Below are 16,088 nucleotides of genomic sequence, written 5' to 3'. Positions count from 1 at the left end.
AGTTCACAACTAACTCACCAAGAGACAAAGTTTAGCATAGGTGGTTGAAAAAAGTTGGTAAAATAAAAAAATAGAACATACACTAGTGGAACTAACAAAGTTATTTTTAATTGTATTAAAGCATTTTTCTAAAAATTGTGTTCATCAATGCAAGAAGATCATTGAGATAGGGAGGAGGAATTGAGATGTTGAGAGAGAATTAGACACTTCTTGTATTTTTACCTCACTGTTGTAAAGTTTATATAATGAGCTAAATAATATGAACTAAGATTTAAGCTTCGAGTAAATTTTTTAAATGTTTGCAAGTTTTTAAATTACTTTGTTTAGATAAATTGTGAAAATTTGAAAATATAACTTCAAAATCTTTTGAAGTTAGATTTGTCTGAGTTTTAAAGTTTTAAATTATCAAAAATAATACACAGTCAACATTAGTATGTTAGTAGTAGCTTTTATTTGTCATATTTTTATTGTGATCTTATAAGCTGTTCTCATAATTGCTGTCCAGATTGTATTCTTGCTATTAAAGTTTAATTTAACTAATTAAATTTTATTTTTGTTTTCTTTTGATATTATCAAGTATTTGAATAATTAAGAGATACAGTTTTCTGATGAAAAGATGTTTTTCACATTGTTATAATGTGTGTACCCTCTACCTTTTGGTTTGACTTAGTCATCCTCTCCCTTTAATGTTGTCTTTGATCTGAAATTAATTTGTCTATTTAGCAGGAGATGACGAGTCCAAGTTAGATGATGCACATTCATTAGGCTCTGGTGCTGGAGAAGGATACGAGCCAATCAGTGATGACGAACTAGATGAAATTCTGGCAGGTGATGCAGAAAAGAGGGAGGACCAACAGGATGAGGAGAAGATGCCAGGTAACTATTTGCAGAGGTGGTTAAACATGAAAATTATCTGTTATATGATATTAAAGTATTATTACCTTCTACTCTGTAAAAATTGACCTAAGACACTTAGAATTTTTCCTTTTACATTTTACTTAAGGTTGAAAGGCCAATAAAATGAAAATTATAGCCTATATGCCTACTCCTTTTTAAGTAGGCATTGTCTATGAATTAGAAAGGGCCTCATTTAAAATAGCAAAATTCTAAAGTTTATTTTCCAGAATTTAAGAATCATATTATATGACTTGGAATCTAAACAAATACTGATTGTCTAGCAATGTTCTTTCTACATGGTAGTTATATGGTACAAAGCTTCACAACTGTGGTGACACAAGCCAACTTTTTAAACAACCTGTCAAAAATTTACAGTAGTTGAAATTATATTTGAACACTATATACCTCTATCAATTTTCTAAATTTGGTAATTATTTTGACTTACAGTACTTTGTGTGTTGCTGGAACTCATTCCAGTGATTATACCATGAAGCAACACCCCTTAATATTCCTCTTGAATCATTCCAATTAGTGTCTGATTGTTACTAACAACTTTTTTAAATCACAGTGAGGATCTTTTCTTTGATTATATAAAATATGAAATTTTTATTTTAATTTGCTCTTATATTTTGCAATTTTTTCTACTGATGTAGAAGGTATGTATGATTGTTATCTTTGTTATTTTCTGGTATCAGGTATTTCTAAGTAGAACATTATTTCTTCAACTGTTCCTTCGCAGTGGATGGATTATTTGCTCTCAGTGTTAATAATTGTCACTCTCTGACTCTTAAAGGGATTTCATAATGAAATAGTTGTTTTTAAAAATTAAAATGTATGTGTGCACACACTGCAAACACATGTACTCCTAGATTTAACCCTTAAAAGGATTCTGGTACCAAGTTTCAAAAGATCAGACCCAATCTGAGTGAAATCAATAGAGTTCTTTCATTGGGGATCTCCCATGGAGTTAAAATGAGTTATTTGTATGGGTGGGTTGGGTTACCTGTTTTCTTTTGGTGGGAAGGTTTTTTATTTGTCAGAGTCCTTAGATTCTGAGTATTATATGGGAAGGCTTTTATTTTAAGAATAGGACATTTTTGGTTTAAAGTACTTTTCATTTTTTCTGTTTTCTCCTTGATTTATGTAAATGTCTATGTAGATAACAAGACTGCTATTTCTTGGTGTAAAACAAATCTTACTTTTTAACTTTTTACAGATCCCTTAGATGTGATAGATGTGGATTGGTCTGGTCTTATGCCAAAGCATCCAAAAGAACCACGAGAGCCTGGGGCTGCACTCTTAAAATTCACACCTGGAGCTGTTATGCTAAGAGTTGGGATTTCTAAAAAGTTGGCAGGTTCTGAACTCTTTGCCAAAGTCAAAGAAACATGTCAGAGACTTTTAGAAAAACCCAAAGGTAGTTTCATTTTACTTTAACTATATAATGTCTGTTAACCATTTAAGATGCCATCTGAAGGGGATTCTGATCTGTTCTTATGTAGCACTTAACACTGTGTAGAAACTATTTTTTGAGAAATCATTTTATAATCATTATTTAACCCTCATGGTCAAAGTTTCTCTTTAAAATTTATTTTGAGAAGAAGAGTTATCCCACAGAAAAGTTGGGAAAAGAGTACAATGACCTTTTTGTATGAAAATTACTTATTAACAGGCCAGGCGTGGTGTTGCATGTCTGTAGTCACAGCTACTCAGGGAGGTTGAGGCAGCAGGATTGCTGGAGCCCAGGAAATTGAGGCTGCAGTGAGCCATGATTGAGCCACCACACTCCAACCTAGGTGACAGAGCAAGACCCTGTCTCAAAAAAAAAAAAACAAATTAACCAATAAGTTCTAATATCAAAGTGCTCAGTGGTTTGCCCTTGGCTAAATGAAGCAGAGCCAGGAAAAACAGACTACATATTTTTCATGTCTAAAGAAATTGGGTATTTTGGCAGCCCTTTCCCCTAGACATCTACCCAAATGCAGGTGTGTAGGTTGAGTCTTTAACAAAGTGATTAAGAGCTTGGTCTGTAAGGCCGGATGATCTGGATTTCAGTAGGCACACCACTTACTGGCTATTACTTAATCTGTGTGTTAGTGTCATCATCTGTAAGTCAGGAATAATCATACCACCAACTTCCTATGGTAATTAGGAGCAAATGAGTTATTACAGGCAAAACACTTAGAACAGTTCCTGGCATATAGTAATACCCAATAAATATTAACTGCTACTTTGAAAATATCCTATCACGCTGATTTTTGACCTCACTGCAGCAATTTTCAGTTATTCCAGATTATCTAGCTTATGGATTCTGGTGGTAGGGGTTGTTTGGTTTTGGTTTTCACTGTCTCTGTCTCATCTAGTACCTACCTTAGTTTATTTTGCAACTTACTAATACTTTATTAATGGGGAGGGACGAGTAGATGGTAAAAAGAAGGAAAAGGAGGTAAAAGGTGAAAGGAACAACATTAATTAACAATTTTACGTCATGTCCCTGGACATAAAAGTTTAGTTAGTATTAAATTTTTCACTAATACAAAATAAAAAAATATTGTTTTATGAGTTTTATGAATTCATGCCCTTCCTTTACTCTATTAGCATAAGCAGTAAATTTTTTTATTTTAATATAGCCCAATAAACCTAGAGTATACATGTACAAAATACATATAATTGTTAACGTGTATTAACCGAAAAATGACCCAAGACTTAGTTCTTGCCCTACTGTATCTGCCTTGTTTGGTTGGTTCTGTGACCTTAAGCAAATAACTCCTGTGAGCCTCAATTTTATTTGTAAAGTGATGGAATAAAACCCCTAAAATCTTACCCACCTCTAAAGATATTTGTTTCTGTGACCTTTTGCTAGTAGCATTTCAAGTTAAAATCTGGTTTGATTTTGCTACCCATGAAATACAGTTCGGCCCTTACTTATTGATGACTTAACCTAAACAGTGAAAATATGCACTGTAAAGGGTGGGGTGATGTGGCTTAACAATCAGACTTCTTCTATTTTTGCTGCTATGGTGGTTGTATTAGAGAACTGATGTATTATCTTGAATAAAGACTTTGTCTTGTTTACTGCCATATCCAAGGTCTAATTATCTATCTATATTTTCTGCTATTGCCCAGAAAAGTGCCTGACATACATAGTAGGTTTTCAGTAAATATTTATGAAATAATTGATACTGATTTTTCTTTTCCATTTTGTCTATTCAAGTGTACCAACATGAAAGAAAACATAATCATATTTCATATATAATTTTTAAAAGAAACAACTAAAGCTTAAAACAGAAAATTTATAAGTGTACTGAAATTGAAATTGCTTTTGTCTGTTTTCTAATTGCGCTAAGGTTAAGTTCATTTTTTTTAATTTTTAATTTTTAATTTTCATGGGTACTTAGTGGGTGTATATATTTGTGGGGTACATGAGATACTTTGATACAGTCATGCAGTGGGTTAATAATCATGTATGGAAAATAGAGTATTCATCCCCTCAAGCATTTATCCTCTGTATTACAATCCAATTACTGTTTTAGTTATTTTTAAATGTATAATTAAATTGTTATTGACAATAACAGTTTCTACAACAGGGTGTTATAGTCACCCTGTTGTATTATCAAATACTAAGTCTTATTCGTTCTTTTTTTTTTTGTACCCATTAACCATCCCCCCAACTCCCCACCCCCACATCTCCCCACCCCCACATCTCCCCACCCCCACTACCCTTCCCAGCCTCTACTAACCATCATTCTACTCTCTGTTGGTTAAGTTCTTTTGAGCTAAACTTTTAAGAATGCATTTAGTCTGTTTCTTGAGTAATTTGGTGCTGCTCAGTTCAAAACTTTAAAGAGACTGGAAATTTAGTCATGTTTTATACTCCCTGAGGAGGTTTGCAGGTATGTGTTTTGTAATCTACTATTTTGAAAGCCAAAAATAAGGATCCCAATAAACAGAAATGTGTGGTAATGAACAATTTTCAAGGAAGGGTGTAGGCTCAATGCATTTCTTTTATATTATATCTGTAGTGGAATGGTAGTTAATGTTTTTGTTTTTGTTTTTAATCATGTGCATATATGACTATATCATTGGTTGGTACAAACATTGGTATATCTGAATCATCTGAAAAAACTGCCCCTTTTTTCCCTTAAGGTATTCTAGTCCAACTATGGTGATTCTCATTCTGCAAATCTGGTGATAGAGCCCAGGGAATGTTTTTTAAAAAGCTCCTCAGCTGATCCTGATAGACTCCAGTGTTTGAGAACTAGTTTCGGGCTTTTCTATATATTTACACCTTTCTTATGTTACACATCTATTGACTAGGTGTGTTATTTAAGACTGGTTTCTTGTTAACTATCTAATCTCAATACTTACACTTTGCAGCCCAGAAAATTGAAATCGGCTATGTATTGCAGCTTCATTTTGTTCTCAGTAAAATGTGTCTTTTATTTTTACCCAGGCGTTTACTGCTTTTCTTTGTGGGTTGTAAAAGTAACCTGCTTGAGCGTGTTGTATGAATAGAGGCAGTACCTGCTGTCTTTCGTACTCTTGACCGACTCTTATTTATTTGGATTACTGACTGGTCCTGTTCTGTTATTTTGACTTCCTTTGTGTCTATTTTTAACCTAACCTCTTTATATTTTATTCTATCTTTCCTTAATTCTTCTGGGGTTTTTTTGTATGTTCAGTGTTTTCTCCCCTACCTTGCATGTTGTGACTTAAAACTAAGTGATTTAAATTTAATACATTGTCCCAGGTTTTTATGGTGACCAAATCTAGGACAAAGTTTGCAGGTTATCTAACAATCACTTTCTTAACTAATTTTTTTAGAGGTCACAGACTTGAATATTGTTATAACATTTGAATCTTGCTATAATAAAGTCTTGAAATCTAAAACTCTAAATAGTAGTTGATGGTAAGCAGTATACTGAATTAGAGTTCAATGATTCTTAACTTGAACGTTTCTTTAAAACATCCTTTAAAAACGTTCTTTAAATAAATTCCCTGGGGCTGGGGGCGGTGACTCATGGCTGTAATCCCAGCACTTTGGGAGGCCGAGGCAGGCAGATCACTTGAGGTCAGGAGTTCAAGACTAGCCTGGCCAACATGGTGAAACCCCATCTCTACTAAAAATACCAAAAAAAAATTAGCCAGGTGTGGTGGTGTACGCCTGTAATCCCAGCTACTCGGGAAGCTGAGGCAGGAGAATCGCTTGAATCCAGGAGGTGGAGGTTTCAGTGAGCCGAGGTCGTGCCATTGCACTCCAGCCTGGGCAACAGAGAGATACTTTATCTCAAAAAATAAATAAATAAATAAATTGTTTAAAATTAAAAAAAAAATTCCCTGGGCTCTACCTTGAGATCCACATACAGTCTGCTTTTCTTATATTTTAAGTAAATTTAAAGTGGCTATCAGAATATTTATTCTTGTTTGAGACTACCAACATAACTACGTGTTGAAGGTGCTTCACAGAGAATATATTGCCTTTAATGTGAAATAATTTTCACCAATGTTGCTAACTTTAATAAAGTATAAAATTTGTAGAATATTCAGTTAAGTAGTTGGTAACCCTTTTCTATTTTAGTAAAACTTAATGCATGTTTACTTTTTTTTGAAAGATGCAGACAATCTCTTTGAACATGAATTGGGGGCTCTCAATATGGCTGCATTACTACGAAAAGAAGAAAGAGCAAGTCTTCTTAGTAATCTTGGCCCATGTTGTAAGGCGTTGTGCTTCAGACGGGATTCTGCAATTCGAAAGCAGCTTGTTAAAAATGAGAAGGTACTGTTATTTCCTTGGAAAAAATACAAAGTGAATAGTGTGAATGGCCTATTTTTCATTTGGTTGTTTTAAATTGAGATTGCAATCTTATGTTTTTATGAGTTTGGTTTCCTAATCTTTTATACATGTAAAAAGAAGAATGCCATTAAAATGTATAATATGCTTTATTTTACTTCAACAGTATTAATGAATTTTGTTTTAATAAAGTTTAAAATATTCCATTTCTGTTAAACGTTTTTTGTGAAAAGCTTTCAACAAGCAAACGTATTACAAAAATTTATTTAAATTGAAACTCAAGGAAAAAAATTTCTTAGAGTGATGAGGATATTTATGAGAGTAGTATTTATGAGAATATACAAAGTTGGAAGAAAGGGAAATAAAGCGACTCTATATAAGCATTTGAGAGGAATAAAGAGATTGAGAAGTAAGAGGAATAGAAATTAGATTTGGAAGAGATCTGTTAATGAAATCTGGTAAACCCAAGATGAAAACATTTTAGACTCTTTAAAGTTAAGAAACTGGGATTTTTGGCCGGGCGTGGTGGCTCATGCCTGTAATCCCAGCACTTTGGGAGGCCAAGGCAGGTGAATCACGAGGTCAGGAGATCGAGACCATCCTGGCTAATACAATGAAACCCTGTCTCTACTAAAAATACAAAAAATTAGCCGGGCATGGTGGCGGGCATCTGTAGTCCCAGCTATTTGGGAGGCTGAGGCAGGAGAATGGCGTAAACCAGGAGGCGGAGCTTGCAGTGAGCAGAGATCGTGCCACTGCACTCCAGCCTGGGCGACAAAGCAAGACTCCATCTCAAAAAAAAAAAAAAAAAAAAAAAAACTGGGATTTTTATTTGGGGTGGTGAGTGGATGGGTATAGGTAGTACAGACTGAGTATTCCTAATCCGAAGCTTTTGAGCATCGACATGACCCTCAAAGGAAATGCTCTTTGGAGAATTTCAGATTTTGGATTCTTAGATAGGGATGCTCAACTGGGTAAGTAAATGTAATGCAAATATTCCAGAATCCAAAAAAATTTCCAAATCTGAAACATTTCTGGTCCAAAGCATTTCAGTTGAGGACTACTCAACCTGGATGACAAAAGAGAGTTGGTGTGATTCTTTGCTTAGAAAGTTTAGAGTAATGATAAAATGGTTAACTTCACTAGCTTTTTACTTGGGGCAGTTAGGAAAACAGAATTATCTTTGACTATATAACATTGCTAAAGAAAAGATTACTTCATTAAAGAAAAATACTCAGATTTAGGGTAGTGGGTAGGGGGGATTCAATTTTTAAAAAACAGAAGAATGAGTTTATCTCCAAAGATTAAAATGGAAACAAATACGAGGAACAGGAGATTTTTAAAACATGTCTTGACTGTATAATCAAGTTTTCCTCACTTAAAAGTCTGGTTCAAGATTACTTTTGACAGAATCACTACAGTCATTCTCCTTTGCTCCCTGATTTCAGTATGCACTTTTCTTTGTTTTGTATTTTGTAACATTCCCTGGTCCCTTCTCTATGACAATAACTTTCCAAAAAATGCTAATGTAACTTTAAGTCACAATAATATAGATACATATTTTAGTATAAGGGAGGTAGTAGTTCTTCAGCATACTGCATGATTAGCTGTCTTCTAAAGGATTTATTCAGTTTTCGAGCTCACTTTTTATGGGACATTGAAAGATTGGTAAGGAGTATAGAATAGAATGTTTGGCTTACAGAAGGAAAAACTATGTGAGGAAGGAACTCATGGCACTTACCTTCATAGAACTGAAGGATTGTCAAGTAAAGGTAAGATTGAATTACAGTGTAGCACCATAGAAGAGCTTTTATTCCATCACATGGAAGAAATAGTGCCATTCAACAACAGAACGTGCAGTGTGTTTTTTGTTTGTTTTGTCATTGGAAATGATAAAGTAAAAACCGGTTGATTACCTGTCAGAAATTGTTGAGAGGATTCCTACTTTAAGCAAGAGGTTAAACTAGGTGCCCTCTAAAAGTTTCTTTTCAAAGATTCATTGAGCCCAAACACATTTTCTAATTTTGCTTTGAAATCCAATAAAGCTAATTTAATATCCAAAATGAAATACTCTTATAACTTTGATATTTTGGGTAGAGGTTAACCTGCCCATCTTTCCTACTAATAATGTACATCTTTTTTAAAGTTTGTTTTTGTTTTCTTCAAATAGGGCACCATAAAACAAGCTTACACGAGTGCTCCAATGGTAGACAATGAATTACTTCGATTGAGTCTTCGGTTATTTAAGCGGAAGACTACTTGCCATGCTCCAGGACATGAAAAGACTGAAGATAATAAACTTTCACAGTCCAGTATCCAACAGGAACTGTGTGTGTCTTAAGACCGAAGTTCAATATGGTATTTTTGGTACTGTCTTCCTTCAGCAGTGCATATTCTTTTGCAAAGTTCTTTGGTTTGACAAGCATTAGTGACAAAGGCAGAAAAGATTTATCAGCCATGCTAAAAGAGTGAAGAATTTTGATCTTTAGAGACACTAGTTTTGGCCAACTTAAGATTTTACGTTAATTTTTACATAGTATTTGACACTCATGCAAAATAATGTGAAAACATCTAGATTTAGTAGTTTATTCTGCGCCTTTTGTTAAAACTGAAGATTTTGGAAAATGGTTGTCACTGCTCTTCCAGCCTATGAATATTTTTGTGAAATGGAACCATGGATTTATGTCTGGATCATCCATACAGAACCAACAATTTTATTCAAAAACAATGTGTTCATCAAAGTAATTGCTCACATTGTGCAGTACTATGTTGTACAGACCACGTGAAAGGGAATGCTGGTCTAGCTGGCGTGGTATGTTTATAGGCGAATTTCAGCAGAAGGAAGCCAAAATAGTTTTTTCCTTTTGAAAGTTTTTTAAAAATTATTTCATGGGTCTTTTTTTTAATTAATATGTGTGCATTGTTACAATGTATGTTGGATGTCTTTTGACCCTAAATGCTTTTTTTGTTATCAGAGATTGTGTACTATTTTTATTTTTAATAAATGTATCTTCCCTTTCCTTGTTTTAGATTTACTTTGCTCTTCGTTAATCTTATTCCTGATGATCTAGAACATTAGTCATCAACATTACATGTTTCATGCTTCAGATATTTTACTGCTTGTGTCCTTATTGTTGGACAGCTTTAAACAGAGTTGATGTACTTCAAATATAGCTCATTGATACTTAAGGCATCTTCTTGGAATGTGGCTTTTGAAGAAAAAAATTACTCAAAGCAAATCAAGAGTTAACAAACCTAACGTAACCTGAGGTTTAATATTCTACTATCATATTTTTTAGAGCTATAACTTTTGATTATATTAAACTGCCTCCAGCTGTACTATGTAAAACAGATTTACTTTTAAAAATTACAGTATACCTGCTTTGTTCTATATGTATATGTTTAACTCATGAAGTGGACTCTTAGAAGGATTTGAAATGGACTCTGGCCACAGAATTTGTGAGCAGACAGTAGTAGTGATAATAATAAAAGAAGGCAATCAAAATTTAATTTTATCATGCCCTCTCACAGGTTTGTGTTATAATTGTAAGCCCATATTACTTGTGTTAGTAGTTTTGTCTCTATAGGTAACATAATGACAGTGGTGTAAAGTTTCTGTTCAAGAAACATATGTTGTAAAGTTACTTTATACAAGATACCTGCCAAAGGAAATGGTCTTACTTTCAAATGACTTTGAAAGCATGTATAATTGCAAACAGAGCAGGAGAAGACTTTAATCAGAATTTCCTTGTGTCCTTTTCCTTTACTAAGTGTTTTGAATAAAGAAAAAAAAAATGTATGACCTCAGAGAATGAATACCCTTCAGGAAGCCACTTCCTGATTTTAGTGGATAATATTGTTCTCTGTAGCACAAAGATTTAAAGTCCTAGAATTTCTAATCCTAGTTCTCAGAATTGTAGAATATGACAAAAATAATGGTTTCCCCATTTGTCCACTGACTTCAGGGATATTTCACAAGTTATTTATTTATAGAATGAAAACTATGTAGTTAAATCTGTCATTCAGTTAAACCTGTTGTCTTTCAGTTTGAAATCTTTTTGTTATGTATGTTGCAAAAGAAAATTTAGAACTATTCCTTTGTTCACTCAGTCACAGCATTCAGAGCTTTATGTTTCCAGTGGAAATGTACTGTTCAGTCTCAATTTCTTTTAATTCAACCATTCTCAGTATTAGTAACATATACCTATAAAATTTTTCTAAAGCAAAATTTTTGATTGAATTTCTCATAAAAGCTCTTGGACCATAATTAAAGTCTCAGTTAAACTGGTATTCCCGAAAAACAATCTTCCAGTCTATAAATTGTTTGCTAGTACAATTAAAAGGTCATCTATCTCATAACTGACGGCTCAGGTCTGTCCAGTTGCCATAATTGCACAACTGGATTCCAGCTGCTGGTAATAAGGAATTGTGTAGATAGATAAAGGGCAAGAGTATGTCTGCAATCCAAAATAAATGAGAGTTAACACATAATTAGCCTTTTGATTATTTTGGCAGCTATCCTCACCATTTAGTAAAGGGTATACTAACAATACCCAACTTTATTTAACAAAGTTTTGTAAGCATACCTAAGTAGTAACTTGATATGCTGAAAAATCTGACCTGTCACTTCGCTTCACTCTGACCAGTAATTGCAGATTGTCGTCACCATCCTAGCCTATGACTACATTAGGATTTTATGACTTATTAACTTGAAAATCTGTTCTGTAAGTGGCATTGGTAGAATCTCCCACTTTGCTCCTCACTGTCCAATTGTGTAAAGATTAAGGTACATACTATTGTTGGTGATGCTTTTACACCTCAACTTGCTATTTTAAAAGGTTATATGAACCCCTCCCACTTTTAAGGATATTCCCTTTTACTGATTTTCCTAGCTAAAATTATATAGCCATCTTTCTAAATATTGTATTTAAATCTGATCTAGGACTTGCCTTATTTTATCATTTTTCTTTAATAATCTCCAATAAACTTTCTTTATTCATTAATTTTGTTGATCTTTCCATTTCAGTATTTTGAATGACACTCTGGGGAATCCAAGTTTAAATGGTGAAATATTTTTATTAAATAACTTTCTACATGCATCTGTAAACATACTTTCTCAACTTTATTGAGCTGTTTCTTTCATATTTTTTTTTCTTTTTTAAATTATTTTTATAGAGATGGGGTCTTGCCTGGGCTGGTCTCAAACTCCTGGCTTCAAAGCCATCCTCCCGCCTTGGCCTCCCAAAGTGCTGGGATTACAGGCATGAGCCACCATGCCCAGCCCTTTTTTTTTTCAGAGGCAGGGTCTTTCTCTGACCCCCAGGCTGGAGTGCAGTGGCAGGATCATAGCTCACTGCAGCCTCCAACTCTAGGGCTCAAGGGATCCTCCCACCTCAGCCTCCCAAGTAGCTGGGACTACAGGTGTGCATCATCATAACTGGCTAATTTTAAAAAGAAAAATTAAAAAAACACTTTGGTAGGCCAAGGCAGGAGGATTGCTTGAGCCCAAGAGTTCAAAACCAGCCTGGGCAACAAAGTGGGACACCATCTCTGCAAAAAATACAAAAATTAGCCAAGTGTGGTGGCACGTGCCTGTAGTCTTAGCTACTCAGGGAGGCTGAGGCAGGAGGATTGCTTGAGCCCAAGAGGTTGAGGCTGCAGCGAGCTGTGATGGCGCCACTCCATTCTAGCCTAGGCAACAGTATGATACCCTGTCTCAAGTTTAAAAAAAAAAAAAAAAGGTGGGGGGGGGATCTTACTATGTTGCCCAGATGATCTCAAACTCCCAGCTTCAGGCAGTCCTTCCATCTCAGTCTCCCAAAGTGTTCGGATTACAGCCGATAGCCACCACCTGGTTATACTGTGATAGAAGTACAATTGGAGTAGCTTAGGTAAAGATGGGAAGTAAATAGACATGAATAAAATGTAAATTGCAGTGATTGCAATTAAAGAAAAAACCAAATGACTGAGATGAGAAATAAGTGTAGCGATTGGGAGTTGGGTACTACTTCAGATTATCAAGAAGGTCTTACGTATGAGATGAGTCCTAAAAAATGAAAAGAAGCTAGCAAAGAGCAAAAGGGGAAGGAGTATTTCAGGCAGAGGGATGGGGATATGCAAAGGCCTAGGAAAAGAGCTTTGGTGAATTCCAAGACGAAAATACTACTATGGCTCACCACTGGGTGGAGGGGATGGGGGTTGCTAGAGAGAAGGTCTAGAACAGTGCTGTTCAACAGAATATTCTACAATGATGGAAGTGTTCTGTAAATGCTGCCCCCCAAAAAATGGCCAATACAAGCTTCATGTGGCTTGTATTAAACACTTGAAATATAGCCAGTGTGACTGAGAAACTGAGTTTTAAAATTTTGTCATTACTTTTAAATAGCTGTATGTGGCTAATGGCTACCATTTGGGGTGGTGTAGGTATATATCTTGGCAAAGCCTTGTGGAATATGGAAGTGTTTCCCACAGTAGAGTATAAAACAAGTTCTGTATGTTCTAGTTACTTTGCATGGCAAGTGGTACTGATTGTTTTAGTTTACTGTGGCAATATAACATTTCTTTTTGGAATAAATGTTAATAACTAAACAAATTAAGTAGTCAGTGTGGAAATAGGACAGAAATTACTGGTGCTCAGATAATTGAAGTTTAGAATATGTAGGCTATGTATGAAGTTGGAATTTCATTTGAAAGCAAAAGTAATAAGTAATAATAAAAGGATAAAAGGCATTCAATCACGTCAAAACAGGCAAGCAGAAGAGAAAAAGCAATTTAGAACAGGTGAGACAAATAGAAAACACACGGATGTAAGCCCAAATGTATTCACAAATTATGTTAAATGAAAACATTCAGTATCCAATTAAAAGACAAAGATTATCAAACCACAGAAAAACAACTACATGTTGCTTATGAGACTGACCTAAAACATAGGGAGCTTTAAAAGTAAAAGGATAGAAAAAAGACACCATGTAAACATCAAGAGAAAACGATGTTAATGTTAATCAGTTATCCCTATGTATTTCATATGTATTGCTGTAATGCTTGCCAAATGCCGGTTTTCTAATTCCACTGTTTTTTCTACACTTACTGGAATTCCCTTATCCATTTATTTCTCCTTTATTCACTTATTTATGTCAGTATAAACTCATAGATTCCTATTTTATTTCATGGGTTATAACTCATTATTGCTCAAAATATCCATGTTTTAGACTTGTTAATTAACTTCCGTGTGTATGTGTGACAATTCCAATATTTAATGCCAATTCAGAATCTGTTTCTATTGTGTGTTGTTTCTGTTGGCTCTTTTTCATGTTTTCTTCCCTACTCTTAGGTCTGGTTATCTTTCACTATATGCCGAAATCGTGTTTGCAAAGTTGTTTGTAGAAAAAAAGTGGAGGTCTAAGATGCTGTTGTCCAGACACAAGTTTTTTTTGCTTCTGGGGTCACTGTCAGACTGAAAACATCTTAATCCTGTTTTAGGAACTAAGATGATCTGAATCCCCAGATGACTCGCATCTTGGCTGCAGTATATGCATGGGCACTTGTAGCTCACTGTCATTCCCAGGGTTCAGACTTTGAGGTCTAGATCCAAAGTACAAGGGTTCATAAGAGCCTCCATTCTTGGTGGATCCCATGTGCCAGTGTTTTCTGCCTTCCCCAAGAGGACATCATAACTTATGATTGGTTCCTCAGTCTGTTTTCCAGATTTTTAAATGGCATCTGGGCAAAATTGACCCCAAATGTCAGGTTCACCCCTGCATATCTATCTCCTGAATTTTGGCCCAAGATTTTTTCATCATCTTACTGGCTTTTCAGTGTTCAAGCAGAATTTTTAAAATAAATGTTTTGTCCAGCTTCTCCAGTTCTTAGTGTGAAGTTGTTCTGAATTATCTCATCTCCCATTACCAGAACAGTTTAACTTTTTTCTTTACTTCCATTTCATTGCATTTCTCCATTTTATTACCTGTACTCATTTGGTTTCCCACAGTGTGTATTTTTCTTTTTGTATAACTCCTTTCCTAAGCTCATATTTTTTCTTTCTGTGATTTCATCATCTCTTCCTTCTTGTTTCTTGTTTTGTGGACTTTCTTCATGGAGGCAGTTGAATCACTAGATTTTAATATTCATGTTGAATTTTTTTTTTTCTTGAGATGATGTCTCTGTTGCCCAGGCTGGAGTGCAGTGGCATAATCATGATTCACTACAACCTCCACCTCCCAGGTTCAGGAGTCTTCCCACTTCAGCTTTCCAGGTAGCTGGGAACACAGGCACATGCCACCACACCCAGCTAATTTTTTATTTTAACTCTTTTGTGCCAACAAGGTCTCCCTATGTTGCCCAGGCTGGTCTCAAACTCCTGACCTCAAGCAATCCTTGACTCGTCCTCCCAAAATGTTAGGATTACAGGTGTGAGCCACCATGCCCAGCCTATTCATGGTGAAATGTTGCAGAATGATATCCATCTGTTCTGCAAAATTTTTCAGATGGTGAATATTATCTGTTAATTTTTGCTAATTTCTCTAGTTTTTTTAATATAGTATCTTTGTATCAGTCTTACGGCAGTTCCTTTTTCTTACTCAATACTGAATGACTTGTAATATACCATTGTTTGCAGGAAATCAGCCATGGTAGCCTTCCAGACGTCACACACATGCTTCATCTTTTCTGCTGATGTCATAGAAGCATGCTGGCTCATGTAAATAGGGCTCCTTGTGATTGCTTGTGTAGGTGGCCCTTCCTCCTCTCCTCCCCTGAACCAAACCAGGTCCAGGAGGACCTTCACAGCCAATCTCGCTCTTCTCTGCTCCTAACTGATTGTTCCAAACAAGGGACATAGCTTTTGCCTTTCAAGGGGAACCCTCACATTCAAAAGCGGTATTTTTTGCTGAGATTTGCTACTGCCTGGTCCCTCTCAACTCTTACTGCACTTCCTCCTTTCACTGTCTCCTGACACTACTTCTGCTAAATCTCAGCTGTTCTGGCAGCCCTTATGTCTATTTTGACATCTGAAGATTATATCTTATCTCCTAGATTCACTGGAAATAAACTTTATGGAGATTTTTACAGTCTTTTTGTTGCTTTTATACAATTTATAGAAGAAAAACAGATTTATGCAGCATGTCCCTACTAAATTTCTTTCCAAGCTAAAATTCAATCCAAAAGTCACTTTAATCCTCAGCTTGGATAGTTCCATCGGGATGCATTCTTAGGTGAACACCTATAATGGATTAATACTTGGGATTATGGTATCAATATAAACCAAACACATAAATGTGATTTACAAAATAAAGGTTATTTGATGTTATCCTGGTAGGTAGGAATCATATTCTCTCTTTAGTCACATTTCCTTTACAATAAATATATCACGTGGCTACCTCTAAAAGCAAAGGAGACTGGCATA

The 16,088-nt window shown here is 35.1% G+C and overlaps 1 protein-coding gene across 28 annotated transcripts in view; it reads left to right on the top strand.

Annotated features, from left to right (window-relative positions):
* The window catches only part of ZC3H13 (zinc finger CCCH-type containing 13), a 98,282-nt gene extending 86,591 nt beyond the window's left edge, over nucleotides 1–11,691 (top strand). For 16 of the 28 annotated variants that reach the window (NM_001382214.1, NM_001382207.1, XM_005266306.4 and 13 more), the window contains 4 exons: nucleotides 724–876; nucleotides 2,114–2,314; nucleotides 6,510–6,673; nucleotides 8,859–11,691. In NM_001382214.1, coding sequence (NP_001369143.1) covers nucleotides 724–876; nucleotides 2,114–2,314; nucleotides 6,510–6,673; nucleotides 8,859–9,029 — 689 coding nt within the window. In that variant the 3' untranslated portion in view covers nucleotides 9,030–11,691. Of the gene's footprint in view, nucleotides 1–723; nucleotides 877–2,113; nucleotides 3,981–6,509; nucleotides 6,674–8,858 lie in introns of those variants that run through there. The other 12 variants (NR_167893.1, XM_047430207.1, NM_001330565.2 and 9 more) reach the window with 2 other exon arrangements.
* The last annotated feature ends 4,397 nt before the right edge of the window (nucleotides 11,692–16,088 follow it).

This window comes from Homo sapiens, chromosome 13 (assembly GCF_000001405.40).
Source record: "Homo sapiens chromosome 13, GRCh38.p14 Primary Assembly".
NCBI lineage: Eukaryota > Metazoa > Chordata > Mammalia > Primates > Hominidae > Homo > Homo sapiens.
This window is presented reverse-complemented; position numbering and strand designations above follow the sequence as displayed.